The 17,665-nt window shown below is 37.8% G+C and overlaps 1 protein-coding gene across 10 annotated transcripts in view; it reads right to left on the reverse strand.

Annotated features, from left to right (window-relative positions):
- CEP41 (centrosomal protein 41) overlaps positions 1–17,665 on the reverse strand; it is a 47,971-nt gene that overhangs the window by 11,542 nt on the left and 18,764 nt on the right. For 8 of the 10 annotated variants that reach the window (NR_046443.2, XM_047421055.1, XM_047421053.1 and 5 more), the window contains 3 exons: positions 11,607–11,654; positions 6,867–6,928; positions 5,810–5,879 (listed from right to left, as the gene is read on the reverse strand). Coding sequence is in view for 9 of the 10 variants with exons in the window: in XM_047421055.1 (XP_047277011.1) it covers positions 5,810–5,879; positions 6,867–6,928; positions 11,607–11,654 (180 nt within the window). In the remaining variant the exon portion in view is untranslated. Of the gene's footprint in view, positions 1–5,809; positions 5,880–6,866; positions 6,929–11,606; positions 11,655–13,721; positions 16,696–17,665 lie in introns of those variants that run through there. The other 2 variants (NM_001257159.2, NM_001257160.2) reach the window with 2 other exon arrangements.

The following is a 17,665-nucleotide window of genomic DNA, read 5'->3' on the forward strand; positions in this document are numbered from 1 at the left end:
CATTTTTGCTTGGAAGAAAAACTGACAGAAAAACTATGGTTAGTTAGACTTGTATATTTGGCAGACATTTTCTCAAAAGTGAACTAAATAAGCCTGTTTGTTATTTCAGGGAACACTACTGATGGCATTGTTGCCAATGATTATATTTTAAGCCAAACTCAGAATTTTGGAAACTATATTTGCCATCAGGAACCGAAGTATGGGGAGCTGCTTCCCCATGCTTACAGACCTTTTTGGTAAGATAGATAGTGAGAATAATATATGTGATTTTTTTGACAGTTGTATAATAAAATGTATTAACCTTTGGGAAGATCTTCATAACTCAGTGAACCAATATTCTCTAAATGGCCAGTGCATGATGTTATACAATCATGCATGGGTAAAAGATTCAAAGTATAAGACAGTTACACTGCAAGTGCCTGATTTTAATCTAACAGTATGAAAGATTCATTGATATGATTTCAGATTCTACATTACAGCTAATCCTTAAGAAACTAGCAGTTGTCAAGTTTTATCTGAAAGGACTATTGAAATATTTCTCCCTTTTCCACCTACAGGTTTGTGTGAGCTGGATTTTCTTCACACACTTTAACACAAACAGCACATCACGACAGACACCGCAGAAGCAGAGAGGAAAATCAGCAATCCTTTCATTAAACCAGACACTAAAGAGATTTACAAAATATGTAAAACAACGACGTTCTCAGCAAAATTTTGTTTTGGAAATAATGCTATTTTTCATAAAAACATGTTATGTATGTTTGTAATGGGTTTAGTATGGTTATTTTTAAGTGAAATAATAAATAAATACTGTTTCAGTTCCCAGTTTAAATTTTTAATACACTAAATATTAATAGACATAAAGCACATAAACCAAAGCTCTTTGGGATCTTCAATAATTTTTAATAGAGTGGAGGAAGAGAACAAAACGTTTGAGAATTTGCTGTTCTAACCAATACAATAAAGTTTTTTTAAAAATAATAATAACAGGGCGGGCATGGTGGCTCACACCTGTAATCCCAGCACTTTGGGAGGCTGAGGCGGGTGGATCACTTGAGGTCAGGAGTTCGAGACCAGCCTGGCCAACATAGCGAAACCCCATCTCTACTAAAAATATAAAAATTAGCCAGGTGTGCTGGCAGGCACCTGTAATCCCAGCTACTCAGGAGGCTGAGGCAGGAGAATCACTTGAACCTGGGAGGTGGAGGTTGCAGTGAGCTGAGATCGTGCCACTGCACTGCAGCCTGGGCAACAGAGCAGGACTCCATCTCAAAAAAATAAATAAATAAAAATAAAAATAACAAGTCTAATTATTAAAGAGGATATTAAATTTATTTTGCATATGATATGATAACGTACCTAGAAATTTTAAGAGAATGAGAATAACTGCAATAAATATGTGGTTAGATAAAAGAAATGCTAAAATATTTGTCCTATACACCAATTAAAAAATAACAGGAAAAAAAATCTCATATACAGTAACAACTGCAGCTATAAAATATACTCTCCGGTGGGGGGACGGGGGAGGGAAAGCATTAGGAGATATACCTAATGTAAATGACAGGTTAATAGGTGCAGCACACCAACATGGCACATATATACATATGTAACAAACGTGCACATTGTGCACATGTACCCTAGAACTTAAAGTATAATAAAAAAAAGTATATAAAAAATATATATATATACTCTCCAAGAAATGATCCTAAACTGAATGTAAATAACCTATAAAAATGTATAAATCCTTTATAGGACTTACAAAAATTTTACTTAGAGGCCTTAAAGAAGACCTCAATGAAGAGAGTGACACACTCTGCATGTTCCTGATTGGGCAAGTAAAACTAAAATGTTAATCCCTCCCAAATTTAACTTTTGTTCTTAATACTAATCCCAGAGGGATTTTTTTAAAACTTAAAAGGATTTAAAAAATAACAAGAGTAAACACACACACACACACACACACACACACACACACACACACACACTCAGATCCTTTTTTCCTATTCAGTTTCACAAGACTTAAATATTCTGGAAGCAATATATACCCATGGGTTTTTGATGTGTTGGTTTTTGATATGTATGAGGAAATAGGAAAATATATGTATATACATACATAATTAGGGGTGATTTGGAGACCTGCCTTATCAAATAGTAACATATGTTAAAAAGGTAAATGATCAAAATAGTACAGCACTACAACCAGAACAATGGAATATAATAGAAAACATGGAAAAGAATATAAATAAAAAGTCAATACATCCATATCACAAATCAGTGGGTAAAGGGAGAACTACTGAGTATATGGTGCTAGGAATATTTCTCAACTATCTGGAAAAATCTAATTCAGATAATCACCTCGTGTCATATATCAAAATACATAACAGATGGTTTAAATGCAAACAAACAAGCCAATAGATTATTACAAAATGTAGGTAAATAATTTACCAACACTGAATTTTATGAGTCTAAAGCAATAAAAGAAAACAATAGTACAGGCTAATAGATTTGATTACGTAAAAATTCAACCTCATATATATCAAAAACCAACACAAAAAAATTAAAAGGTGAATAACAAATTAGGAAAAAGATCTGTAACACATATGAATTAAGAAGGTTAATATACTTAATTTATAGATTTAAAAAATTAGCTCTTTAATATAATGTGAAAAGAGTAAAAAAGCAATAGGATCATGTGCACGAGGTAAAAATGCAAGTAAGATTAAATCGTTAACATGGAAAGGAAGTCTTTCCCCCACCGAAGACATGCAGGCCCTCCTGCCTCCTTCCCCAAGGGAAGTATCAGTATATTAAACACTTTCACGTATTTATGTCTCATTCCAGAAATAAAACATTTACATGTGCTTGCATATATTTTACTTCTTCCCCCTTTTACAAATCCAGGAGAATTCTATTCATATTATTTTATACTTTGGGTTTTTGTTTTATTGTTGTTTTATTTTTACTTAATATAGCCTGGAAATTGTTCCAACTAATCAAGATTTTTTCTCATCCATTGTCAAGTTAATATTGTTCTCCGTTGTACAAAGATATCATAATTATTCAGAACTCTCACAAACCAATAAGAAAAAGATGAACATCCTATTAGAAAGAAAGGAAAAAGAGCACATAAACTCCTTAAAAGAAGAAATATGTATTTATGACCAGTAAACACACACACAGAGCATAATCTTACTATCAAATAAATAAAAAACTGTTAGATACTATTTTTCATCTATTGAACTGGAAAATATTTACAGAAATGATAATTATTCAGCTTTGGCTAGGATGAGGAAAAACAGGTCTTCTCATTCACTCTTGGTGGGAATGCAAACAGGTAGAACCATGCTGGAGAGAATGTGGCAATCAGCACTGGGTGTCTAAAATGGTTCCACCCTTTGACCCTCTGCAGCAATTTATCTTCAGGGAATAATCAGAATCATACAAACATTTACATATATACATTGCAGCATTATTTTATAAAGGTGAAAAATCAGAAAAAACTGTAATGCCCAACAAGAGAATAATTAAATTATGGTATATCCAAAGGACAGATATTAGATGACAACACAATCTTTACAGTCATGCTTTTGAAGCCTATTTAGTGACATGGGAAAGTATGAATGAAAAAGCGATAATTGAAAACAGCACAATACAAAATTATATACAAAGAATATAGATTTAATTGGGGTGAGGGGTTAGAGAGGAGGAAAGCGGACCAAAACATAGACAGTGATTATTAGTTATTTTTCTTCTTTATATACTTTTTACGGTTTCCTAACTTACTAGAAATACACTTTTAAGTTAGGAAAAAGCGATAAACATTATAAAAGGAGATTTTTATTTATCCCTTCAAAGATAGCCAATATGCATACAGATACAATCTGTTCCCCAGGCACTCCTGAGTGAGTTATTATCTGTGTAGAGCACTAGAAAAACACTAATATTACTCACACATTATGGTGTCCTACTTTACAAGAGCCTACTTTGCTGTGCAAATTTATCTCAGAAGAGAAAATTGCATGTGCCCATATGTTCTGGTGCTGCAATCTCAACAATGAATTAAAGGACCAAATCTAGGTGCTTATATAACCCAGTTAAAATTGGAGTACTTGTATGAGGAGACTCAAATTATCTCTGCTACAAGGAGCTCTTATTTCTCTGCTTTGTGAGAGGCATCTGTCAAAGATAAATTCCTGTCGTTTTCAGATTCTCTTTATCCTCCCTAACAAAAAACAGTCCAGGGAAATGACAGTTGAGTTGCACAAACCCAGTGTTCAGACTTCCTGAGAAACTTGTCTTGAAATCAGAAGTCAAATTCCTGACCTACATCAACCTTAACAAACACATTCCTCTTCAATAAACAGCCACACACTGATTGCTGGGTACTTCAGGATAAAATAAAGACCTTAACTCTCTGTATTCTTTTCATGAGAGTACAACTAGGAGGTTTTATTTTCAACTTGGTATTTAAGAAAGGAGAAATGGAGCCTACCTGTCTTTCTAGCCTTATCTCCTACCCAGCGCCTACTCGTCCCTTAGACCACAGCCAGACTGGATGACTCGATTCCCCAAACATGCCTGGTGTGCTGTCCTCTCCATGCCTTTCACAGGCTGCTCCTCAGCCTGCAACAGCCTCATCTTTAACTTGTACCTGTTGAGATTCTACCCCACTTCAAGGCCCAGTTCCAGTGCCTTGAGGAAGCCTACCTCGGTCTTCTTTTTTTTTTTTTTGAGACAGAGTCTTGCTGTGTTGCCCAGGCTGGAGTGCAATGGCGTAGTCTCAGCTCACTGCAACCTCCGCCTCCTGGGTTCAAGCAATTCTCCTGCCTCAGCCTCCTGAGTAGCTGGGATTACAGGTGCACACCACCGTGCCTGGCTAATTTTTCTATTTTTTTTAGTAGAGACAGGGTTTCACCATGTTGGACAGGCTGGTCTTGAACTCCTGACCTCGTGATCTGCCCGCCTTGGCCTCCCAAAGTGCTGGGATTATGGGGGTGAGGCACTGGGCGTGAGGCACCGTGCCTGGCCGCCTACCTTGGTCTTCTAACTGGAAGTGTCTTTCCTTCCTTGGAACTCTCCCACAACATCCTGCATCTTTCCTGAAGGTACTTTTCAGTCCCTTAAGGGTACAATGAAGGCAGCAAGAAGACACTGGATGCTACTGGGCACACTTAGATTTGTAACTCAGGTCCCTTCCTTATTAGCTGTATCACTTTGAGGAGGCAGCTTAACCTCTGCAGCTTGGGCCTCTCATCTGTAAAGTGTACCTTCCTTCCAGAGTTTTTAAGAAGCTTAAGTAAGAAAATTCATGTGAATTCACCTTGCAATATACAGCCAACAAACGATGGTTTCCTTCCATTCCTCCATTTTAAAATTCTGCCACCTTAGTAATTTTGTGGTACTGTTATCATTCAGCCCACCCAACACACATACATGTGTGCACATGCACACATGTGACTGTCAATTTCATGTAAGCAGAGCTGTGTTTTGTTCACCTCTGCAGTCTCATAGTACTTAATGTGTAGGTACAAAGAATGCTAAAAATATTTGTTGAAAAAAGTAATTAGTATATTAAACACATCTAAAACATTTAAAACTGTAAGTGTTAGAGTCAGAAAACCAGATGGCTTTTTAAAATAAGAATTAACAACTAAAGTATCAGGTAGCATTTCCCTGAGAGTAACAATCTAATTACAAATAGATACATCAAAGTCCCAGTCCCTGGGAACAGACAGCAAATGTGTACAGGGTGAGTGTTTCAGTCAAATGGTCAGCCTGTTATTTTCCCCACACCCTCAATTCTCATTACCTTCCAGCCTTTGAATCTCCTCAGCTGTCACTTCCAGTGTTTGATCAGAGAGGGAAGCAACTTGGATGATCTGATAGAAAAAAGAATGAAATGTGTGGATGTTTGTTTGTTTTTAAACAGACGCAATTTTGTCTTTTACAAAAGACGAGGGAACAACAAACATCAAAGATCTGTTGTTTTAAGAAGCTGTCAGTGTCCTCAACTGAACGCTGAATCTCAGGCCTCCTTCCTTTTGTGTTGGTAATATACTGCAGATGATCATTTCAGAAGAAAAGCACACTTAGAACACTACATAAACTTAGAATGCTAAGAGGAAAATTTAGGACAAGAAACATGAATAAGAGTTTAAAACCACATCTGTATATATCGTGGTCCAAGCACTACACATTATTTCTTGAAAATGCAATACTGACCTAGCATAACATAGAATGGTATCAGCAATTATCCACGCAATGAAGAAGTAAATGTAATAACAAATACACTGATTACAGTGTTTTATACTTCTATACAGTATTCATTTTTAAAGCACTTTTCACAACTTAGCTCACAAGACCCAAGATTCAACTTGAGTTATGCCAGTGGAACTCTTGGAACTGGAAAGACACCTTCTCCATAATTTTCAAATAAAAGAAGAAAGTGACTTGCCCAAAATAACAAAACAGCTCTGGCAGGATGATTTGGAAAAGATCAGTCCAAGAAAAGGGGAAATCACTTGGTTTCCAGAGAAAAACGTTGAAACAATCCAGGATCCAGAATTTTAGATTCTAAATATTAAGTTAAATGTATAAGGAAAAAAACCCCTAACCACAAGTTTAATGAATTAAAAGTAGGGCAAACATTTACTTTATAGAATTCTTATCAAAGAAGAGAGAAACATTTCTCACCATCTTCATGTGAACACACACACCACATACCAATTAATCTTCCCATAGCTGAACGACATACAAAGAATCAGAAGAAACTCCTCTGCAAACTTTCCCTAGAGTTGAATTTAGAAATACATAAAGTGGCACAAATTAGACAGACTTTACTCCAGTGGAAAAATCAAGAAACTTACCAGCTGGGCAAAAGTTGTAACTTTTAGTCTCTTGAAAAGCTCATCTTTTTTGTATCTATAATCTGAAAAATATGGTAAGACAAGTATTTATCTATTTTGCTTTTTTAGAGCTATTCTTTCTAGTTGTCAAGTGACGTGGTCTTTCAAGTTATTTATATGCTTTTACATCTATTATCTCATTTGAGCCTCATGATATCATCAAAATTAGGTGTGGCAGGTAGTAGTATCATCTGTTCAGTTTGTTTCCCTTTGCTTTGTCATTAGGAAGCTTAAAGTTGAATTTATAAGCTACCTTTGGTCTAGTGACTACCCCTTGCCTTTATTTTATTAGTCTACCATTTTCCTTTAACTAAGCTGTCTCTACTTCGACCACATTGTACTCCACGCATTTTTGTAAGCCGCCTCAAATCCTTTTCAGAGTAAAGCAGGGAAGAAATGTCCGTGTTTTACAAATGAGGACAGAGACTCAGAGAGGCTGAGCTGCCCCAGCTCAAACAGCTGGTGAGACGTTCATGCCCCACTATTCTGACTCCAGCTTAAAAAGAAAGCAATATTATTCCTGCCATTACACACTATGCTGAAGCCACAGGACAACATTTCTAAGTGTATGCTGGGCACACAGCTGTGATTGGTTCTGATCATCTCTCAGCTTCTCTCCAACTTCACTCCAATAAAAATTAACCTACTTAGTTTCGCAAGATGAAAAAGTTCTGCAGTTCTGTTGTACAACAGTATGAAAATACTTAATGCCACTGACCTGTACACTTAAAAACCATTACGATGGTAGGTGTTATGTGTTCTTGTTTTTGTTGTTTACTACCATTTTATTTTATTTATTTTTATTTCTCTGTCGCCCAGGCTGGAGTGCAGTGGTGTGATCTCGGCTCTCTGCCACCTCCGCCTCTCAGGTTCGAGGGATTCTCCTGCTTCAGCCTCCCGAGTAGCTGGGATTACAGTTGCCCACCACCAGGCCTGGCTAATTTGTGTATTTTAGTAGAGACGGGGTTTCACCATGTTGGCCAGGCTGGTTTCGAGCTCCTGGCCTCAAGTGATCCACCCACCTCAACCTCCCAAAGTGCTGGGATTACAGGCGTGAGCCAAAGCGTCCGGCCCCACCATTTAAAAAAATAAAATAAAACCAACTTAGGCCAGGTTTGGTGGCTCATGCCTGTAATCCCAACACTCCAATTAATAATACAACTAATAATACAAAATACAACTAATAATACAAATCCCAACTAATAATACAAAAATTAGTTGGGCATGGTGGTGCACACCTGTAATCCCAACTACTCCAGAGGCTGAGGCATGAGAATCAATTGAACCTGGGAGGTGGAGATTGCAGTGAGCCAAGATTGCACTACCACATTCCAGCCTGGGTGAGAGTGAAACTGTGTCACAAAAAAAAAAACAAAAAAAAAACTTAAAACATCAATATTTATTCAGTGCTGTCTTGACAATTCTGAGCTATAACTCACATATAGGTACTTCTGCACTTGTGTTCATAATTCTTCCCATCACATTAAACAGTTATTAAAAACTAAGCCAGTTGCACTTTATCTATTATCTGTTCCATAGATACGTGTTAAAGGTTAGCTTCCTTAAACTGTTTTGAAGATGACAGTCAAATTCTGAATGGTTTTCAGTGTTGAACTCTGCCCGCCCTCATGCTTTCCTCCTCACCTAGGTTTTTATATTGGTACCCATGACTCTTTAACTGCTGCCTCATTATTTCAGAATTATTAAAGGTTAGCTGGTTAATTGCTATGGCCTTCACAGCATAAATGTCTCATAAACCAAGACTCCTAGCAACAAAGGAAAGGATTAAAAGTATTTAAGATTATTTACCTGGTGTAACTAATCACTTTCATGAATTTTCCAAAAACCAGCACAGACCTTAAGACTCAGAGTCGGGAAATGATACTACTTTAAAAACTAGCCTTCTGTAAATATATCAAGGCTTTTTAAAAATAGGGAATTAAACTTCTCTGTTCTAAAATGTCTTAAAGAGAGCAATTTGGCTAATAACAGACCATTACTTCTAGGAAATGCTTAGAGATGCTGCTTCTGGATACAACAAGGTAACAAACCTATATGCAGTGGAACTTCTAAAACCTGCCGGGATGCAGACCCAAATAGGCCGAGCTGAGGCTTTACAAAGTACAACCAAATAACTACAGTGTTCCTTTTGATTGCCACCAACTTGCCCACCAAAAGTCGTTTATGCAAATCAAAACAACAATAAATCAGCAAATGGAAACAGCCAACAGCTTTCAAGTAGTTTGCACTGTGACATTTATCCACTGATATTCTTTTGGTATGGTTACAAGGTTTAAAATGCTTCTAAGCATAAAATGTATACTTTAAAATCTCCTTTAACTAAACAAAGATTAATTTAAACAAACAAAAAAAAGACTGCTTTATTCTAAAGATTGGGATTTCTACTGTCTTCTGCACAAGCACTAGCAGCCCCCTACATATTTGAACCTGAACTCCACGTACCTGGTTCTGGTTTAGAAGGACAGCCGTCAGTAGGACTTTTTGACATGATTACTCAGAGATAAAAGATCAAACTAGATGTTCTACAGTAAGTTTAAATTTTTATAAAAAGGATGACTTGGAAGGCTCTGTCAGTCTGTCCTCGCAAGAGCGAACAGAGCTTTAAGAATGGAGCTTCTGCTATGTGTCTTCTCCCAAACTCTGTGTTGAAGACAATCCTAGTTTCAGATATGTTATCAAGGTGTGCTTCTCCAGTAAGTCTAGGTTCTAAGTCTGTCTCTCTCGAGTTACTGGAAGGACAGAGACCTGACTATCTAGGATGTTTCACACTGGGTCCAACTAGTGTCATCTAACCACCAGAAACCAAGAATGGGCTTTGTAAATTGTCAATAGACATAGAGTGTCTATTTTCCCCAGGTAGAGTTGAAAGAATATTCAGATTACAAAGGATTTCTGCATTTTCAGGGTTCTGTTGAAATGCATTATTAGCAAAGGGAAGTTGGGTTCACAGTGGAAGACAAATCAAAGGAAGTAACAGAACAAGGTTTGTGGTTTCACAGAAAGAAATGGCATCTAAGGTAATCTGAGTAAAGTGATGGGTCTAGGGTATCAAGAAACAAGGGAATATTCTCCTCCCTTTCAACCCCAAATAATACTTACAACAGAAAATGGGGAAAGAGAAGGAAATATCTTCTAAAATGTAGATGCCAAACCAGAATCTAAAGCAATTCTGTCAGGGAATCAGCACAAAGTGTGTGAAATGGGGTAACAGGAATCTCCTGCTCTACTAAAAGGAAGCCCTCCACTCCTACAGAGGGAAAGTGAAGCAAGCATTTTTCAAGGTTCTGTTCCAAGGGTATTGTTCTGGGAGATCACCTCCACGTAAGGTTTAGATATTAAAGAAACCACATCGTACTTTGAAGAAATGTTTTAAGTGAGGTTATGGCAACCTGGGCAGAGTGGGACATTTTTATGGGACAAATTTCTAGTGAGGACATGTGAACTCACACTCAGCTGCAAATGGATGAGAGGTGACAGAGACGACAAACCCAAAAAGAAGCAGGCCAGCTGGATTCTGCCTGTCTTGGATGAGTCAAGGATGGCAACAATGAAGTGTAGGTGAGTAAATGCGATCTTTCTCCAGAGTTTAAAAGTATATATTTTATATAGATATTTAAAATACATATACTTATGTAATATAAAATGTTCAGGAAGAAAAGAGAAGGATACTGTGGCATTACATATTTTTAAGAAGTTTGTAGCATTAGCCCTTATAGCTGAACATGGCAAATGAAAACACAGCATAAAGCAGCTCCTGAGTCCACATCTATTGGTTGGGGTTTCCCAATATTGCAGCAATTCAAATGGAACTTTGATTTCAAATAAAAGGTCTGCTGTGTAAAAGAAGAAAATGTTCTGATGTATTCTGGATGTGCAATTTTATCTTCCAAGAAGATGTACATTACCAGAGCCAAGTCCTGAACTATGATTAATCAGAGTACCTCTTTACCACCATTAACTAAATATCCCCTAGCACTGGGTTCTCTTATTCAAGATATGAGCAAATCCATCTTAGAAAATAGATGTTTCTACTTCTTCCTTAATTCTGGCCTTGAAGTATACACTTTACATCAGTTTTGGATGCAGACTGAAAAATTATGATTTTGTGCAAGGGCAATGCACTCAATGACTGGTAACATATCTTTGCAGATAAGTTTTTTAAAAGGATGTAGATGAAATATGATTTTTAATTAAAAGAAAACAGACTGCAATGAATTGATAATGCATAACACTAAGTTCTCACGTCCCTGTCTTCCATGAATACTCTCATTTATACACACAAGAATGTTCTGAAGGAAGATATTATTACCCCCTATCTCAAATAGAGACAAAATAAGACAGAAAAGATGAAATATCTTGAAGAAGGGCATGAAGACTGCAGTACAATGACACTAGAAGCTTAAGCAGAGCTCATTCCACCAGATCTGACTCTGCAGGCCAACACTAATGTCTCCTATGGGATGGAAATAGGGCAGAATTTAGGCCTACAGGCCACAATCTGAGAAGCAGCCCAGTACAGCACCCAGGATCTCCCACAGCCCTTGAGGCACCTGCTAGGCTTATCGGACCATCCATAGCTCTCTGTGCCTGTCACCTGTGGAACACAATTGTTAGTTAAGAACCAATTTATAGAACAACTATAGACTTCCACTCTCCCAAACCATCAAGAGTGTTACTTACTTTTCTTAATCTCTTCGAGCTTCTCAGTATATTTAGTCATACTGTTACCTAAAAAGAAAATAAGGGGTTTTAGATATACTTTAAATGGAAGCAAATGAGTAACACTGTGGAAACAGAATGGAGGAAAAGTATCCCCTAAGCTTTCCTATCCTGTTCTTAGGGGATTCTGGACAGCAGCAAACAGGCCACACACAGTAAAATCTTTTGGATAATACAGCGTTATTAAAAGTTGCAGAGCCGAGGGAAATGTTTTGGTAGAATGTGTTTAAGCTGGGATGCATACCCCCAAAACATTGACAAGTTCCAGGAGATACAGATGATCATTTTCTATCAGTTTGTTTTTCAAGTCTAGGCTTTCCTCCTCCTTTTATCTCCCCTGCCCCCGCTGACGATCTTTTTGTGGGGAAGATACACAGAAGAGGAGCAAAAAGGAGGCAGTGTTCTTTGAGTGTCTAAAATGTGCCTTTGTGGTTACCCAAGCAACTCTCTCCTCTCGGCTTTGTCTTCACAGTTTCCTTCTCTTTCCTGAACTTACTCTTCTACCGTTCATGCTCACGTTGCAGTCTGAACTAGACTACACAGTCTACACACTAGTATTCACCATAGATTTGATGTGCTGAGAAATAACAGCAGATTCTTGAAACTGCAGAGAGGCCCCAGCCCTCATGTTTTATAGTATGTTTCTATAATACTAGTACTGGCCAAGGTGGTTTGGAGGTTTTCAGACTTAAAAAACTCAGCCAGGAACCTTCTGGTTTCCAACTCAATTCTAGCTGTCAAGCCAGGGGCTATTATATTTTACTGGGTATGCTTCGATTTGATTCAATTCAACGCAGGAAGCTCTTTCTGTCACCTAAAAGGTATGGCAAAAGGAAAACATTCAAAATAATTTCTCATTTCTAAAACTGTGCTCCTAACTTTTTAAGCCTGGAGAGGATCTAGTCAGATGCAGCCCCAACATCAGATAAAAGAAATGCTTTCAATTAATAGTAGCATGAACTGACATTTTCAAGGACTATTCTGAACTTTTCTTCATGTTTGGGTCAGAAGCAGAAAAAGAAAATCCTTGCTCTGAAACCCAAAATACATTTTCAAAAAAACAACTTATTTCATTGGCTATTATTAAATCTTTACCATGAATTCATCATGGAATAAAAATCCACCATTGTTTTCTTTTCTTTTCTTTTCTTTTTTTTGGTGTTAAGACATACACTCTCTGTATCCAGGACCAGAAAGGAGGATTCAGAGCAGGCCTGGACCTGGAAGTTCCAAGAGAAATGAAGGCAGTCAGGGCTGCCAGGAAGGCCTAAGCCTTCTCAAGAGAGACACTGAATACCTCTTAGAAGAGGCCCAAATATCACCAAGATTAGAACCAAATACAGTCTTTCCTAGGTTCTTCAAACTGCAATTGACCCGAGATGTGACCAGATCTTCAGAGCAGAAGCCACAATTTCTTCCTGGACACACATCTCTCCTGCCCACTGCAACTCTGAACTCAGGCGTGGACTTGCCTGGTCAATACAATGGCGGAAGAAGACGGCAAATCAGTATGCTGTTCAGCTTCCCAAGTCTCATTCTTAAAATATTTTACCCAGTAGCTTTAGGTTATATGTCCCTGAGTCACCCACAGTTGCATGTTATTGACGTGGCAGGTAGTTTCTTTCGGCTAGGGAAGCTTTAGGCAATCTAGTCAGAAAATGAGGGACAAAAAGGAACACCTGATTTGTCTGGTGGCATGGCAAGTTAGTAACTAAGCCAGGATTCGCATTTCCAACCTCCTGAAAAACACATCTTTTTTTGTTGTGTTGTTGTAAAAAAACACAATTAATCATGAGGTAAATTTGTAGGAAATGCTACTTCCTTAATAGTGAGAGGTGGGGATCATCTTGTGTTGTAAATTCCCTGAAGAATGGAAAACACTAGCCAACCTTATTTATCCAGTCTTTATTATTGAAACACTGCATTTCCAAACCACAACCTTATTTATCCAGTCTTTATTATTGAAACACTGCATTTCCAAACCACAACCTTATTTATCCAGTCTTTATTATTGAAACACTGCATTTCCAAACCACAGTGGTTTCTACTAACAAAGTGTCTACACTTCATTTCTCCATTAATTACAAACATTTCAGGGTAATTACACTTAACACTTTATTTTGTATCAGCTGACCCTCACCACAATGCAGGGAGGTAGGCCATCATGCCCTCTATTTGTTTTCCCCCTAAAGGAGAAGGCTGAGAAACAAGTTTTTTGCAATTATACAAATATTTGGTGAAATTCAGACCAAATCTGAGAGGACTACTGATGAGTTCTTTTCACTATAGACATTCATTCTATCCAAGAATGGGGAAAAAAGGAGAATGGAGGATTTCTTCCTTGCTTTAATTGGACAAATGAGATAGCAGGATGGCTGACACAAAAATACCCCTAAAAATGGTTTGAGAAAGTATGAAAAGTAGCATTTTTATCCCACTGTGTAAACTGCTTACATCTTAACTATGCAGCCTATCTTACTGTATCTAATTGCATCTGAAGATAGTTTCTGACTACCTTTTAAAAAGATTGGAAATGAATCCATTTCATAATTCACTTATTTATAAACATGGCTTTGTTTCATACAAAAGAAGCCTAAAAGACTATCCAAGAACCAATTTTTTTTAAAAAAAATTGAAATTACACATTACTGCCAGATACATTTTCCCAGATAAGACTTTTTGATCAAAAAGAAAAAAAAAAGTCAGTGGCTCCCCATTGCTTCCTAACTAAAGCTGAAACTCCTTGCTCTAGCACTGGACACCAACTCACTACCTCTTAATGTTGCCTTAATTACTTAACTTGACAAACTCTTAGTCTTGCATTCTCTAACGTATCACCTTGCCACATACTCGTAAGAGCTCACTCAGCAGGAAGTGACCTTTCCCTCCTCTGAGCCTCTATAGCACTCGGCTTACAACTCACAAGGCATTTATCACTGTATTGTCTTACCTACCTTACTAGACAGAAAGCCAAGGACTATTTATGGGCACGTACACACACACACACACACACACGTATGAATAATCTTTATCCCTTCCATTGTCTAGCATAGGAGACACTCAAAAATACTTGCTGAATGATGGTCAGGTGCACTGGATCATGCCTGCAATCCCAGCACGTTGGGAGGCTGAGGAGGCAGGATTGCTTGAGCCCAGGAGTTCCGGACCAGCCTGGGCAAAATAGTGAGACCTCGTCTCTACAAAACACACACATACACAAAAACTAGCCAGGCATGGTGGCACATCCCTGTAGTCCCAGCTACTTGAGAGGCTGAGGTAGGAGGATCCCCTGAGCCCAGGAAGGGGAGGTTGCAGTGAGCAAGAATGCGCCACTGCACTACAATGCGGGTGACAGAGTGAGACTCTATCTCAAAAAAAAAAAAAAAAAAAAAAATGGCCAGGTGTGATAGCTCACACCTGTAATCCCAGCACTTTGGGAGACTGAGGTGGAAGGATTGCTCGAGGCCAGGAGTTCAAGACCACCCTGGCCAACACAGTGAGAGCCCATCTCTACAATAAATAAATAAATAACTAGACCTGGCACAGTGGCTCACGCCTGTAATCCCAGCACTTTGGGAGGCCGAGGCGGGAGGATCACAAGGTCAGGAGTTCGAGACCAGCCTGACCAACATAGTAAAACCCCGTCTCTACTAAAAATATAAAAATTAGCCAGGCATGGTGGTGCGCACCTGTAGTCCCAGCTACTCAGGAGGCTGAGGCAGAAGAATCGCTTGAACCTGGGAGGCAGAGGTTGCAGTGAGCCAAGATCACGCCACTGCACTCCAGCTTGGGCAACAGAGCGAGACTTCATCTCAATAAATAAATAAATAAATAAATAGGAAAAATACACATTTGCTGAATGAAATTTACTATGGAGATCTACTAACTGAAAAATCCTTATAATGAGTTATTTTATAATGCAAATACTTCCCAATTTGGTCTGAGTTTCTGCACACCTGATTTTCTTTAAACTATGTACAACTTGACTTATATACAGTATATGTTATGTGCTACATATATGACTCATATTGCTTCACGACTTAAGCAACCTATAAATGTATAAGGTAGCATTTAGCTTCTACTTTGTTTACTTACAACTAAAGTTGTGATAAAAGATATATAACAAAACTTTACAATTAGAATCAAGAGGAAGAAACAACCCGACTATAGCAACAGTGCTGTGCAAACACAGAGTGCAACTGATTCAGTGAATGAGTCATTCATTAGATTTTTTCCATTGTTTTCCTATAATTTAATAACATTATTTATACTGAGCCAATAAGAAAAGCAAGTGATTTTGTGCAGCAGTAATCTAAAGTAGATGAGATTTATAAGGCACGAACTCAGTTGCTAAGAGACAACTCCATGGCTTTATTTTTCTTCAATATTTCCCTCCTCTATGGAGAAGTTCTCTTGGCTTGGAAGAGCAGAAAGCATGAAAAGAGGCACAGTGGTCCTTTGTTAACCTCAATAAGTGATATGTGTGTATAGTGCTTTCTGGTTTATAAAAGCCTTTCACATATATTTCTTCCTTTGACGGAAGAAACAGAATTAAACAACAAATAAAAATGAAGAGTACCTAGTCTATAATGAGTTTGATGCTTACAGTCAAGGCTATTAGCAAATATTCAGGAAAAGTAAAGCCTAAAGAAGAAAAGAGGGAATGAATAGTTTGTCTAGAGATAATAAAAGGAAGGTGAATTTTTAAAAAGACAAAAATAAGGCTAGAAAAGACTGAGTGGAGAAAGCCTACAGAATTTCAGAAAGCTAAAGAAATTGGAAATTAGATTGAATATAGATAGAAATGGGAGGACAATGCAGCCAATGAAAGACTGTGGGGACTAATAAAGGGAGAGCCCTGTGGTTTGGAAAGTGTCCCTTAATCAGCCTGCAGTGCTGCAAAACAGAAACCCAGAGAGGGTGCTTGAGAATATACAAGAACCCTGCGGTGGTGACTGAACAAAACGCAGCCAGGGATTTCATCAGAAGCATAATCCATTCATGGCACAGTCTGGCAGTGCTGGGGAGCTGGTAAGATACACACAGGCACCTATGGAACAAAAGAAATATTTGAAGTTCAAAATAATTCTGAGATTTCTAGCCATGGCTGCACTCAGTGTTTGAGTTCATATGAGAAGCAGAGCCAGAGGTATAAAAACAAAAAATAATCTTTAACCAGGAGGAAGATAGCAGTCTTTGAAGAACTCAGTAGAATGTGATTTGGGTGAAGACAGGAGATATCACGAAATTCTTGATTTCTTGTGATTACTCTGAATTGCTTGCTGTTTGGTAAGAAAAGATGAAAGACCCATCTATTTAGCCTAAAAATGAGAAATGCTCACTCATTCCTGTGCCTATTTCCAATGCTCTGACTGCAGAGCTTAAAAACAAACCACAGGTAGAAACTCTGTACTCTTACTTGGGCTATAAGGTCCCTTTTCTGTTTTCTTAACTCCTCACCCTTTTCACCTCATGATACACATACAATGATAAAATGTGGATACAATGCTGGGTTTGGGTTGATCCAGGCCCTGTTGGCTAAAGGGCTGCAGGGATCTGTACCCTGGCACATAATGCATAGGCTGCTGCACACCAGGTAGAAAACTTTTTCTGAATACACAGGGAGGTAAGTCACAAAAATGCACAGAAATATAAGCATTAAAATAAAAATCTCTCCCCTAAACTGACTTTAGAATAATTTCTAAATTTGAAACAACAAAAAAAATCGAACACTAGAATAAGATTTCTCTCCCACACTGACTTTAAAATACTGTGAGTTTTAAGCAATGAAACACACTTTGGCCCTTCCAAAAGCTTTACAAGACTAGTTTGGGAGACTTCTGCTTCCAGAAAGATGGGGTAGATGTACTTAGCTACTCCTCCAGCTAAGAAAAAGAAAACCCTCGATAACCCACAGAATGGGAGAAAATATTTGCAAATCATATTTCTGACAAGACTCTAGTATCCAGAATATATAAAACAACTCTTTTTTTATTTTTATTTTTTGGAGACGGAGTCTC

This window comes from Homo sapiens, chromosome 7 (assembly GCF_000001405.40).
Source record: "Homo sapiens chromosome 7, GRCh38.p14 Primary Assembly".
Classification (NCBI taxonomy): domain Eukaryota; kingdom Metazoa; phylum Chordata; class Mammalia; order Primates; family Hominidae; genus Homo; species Homo sapiens.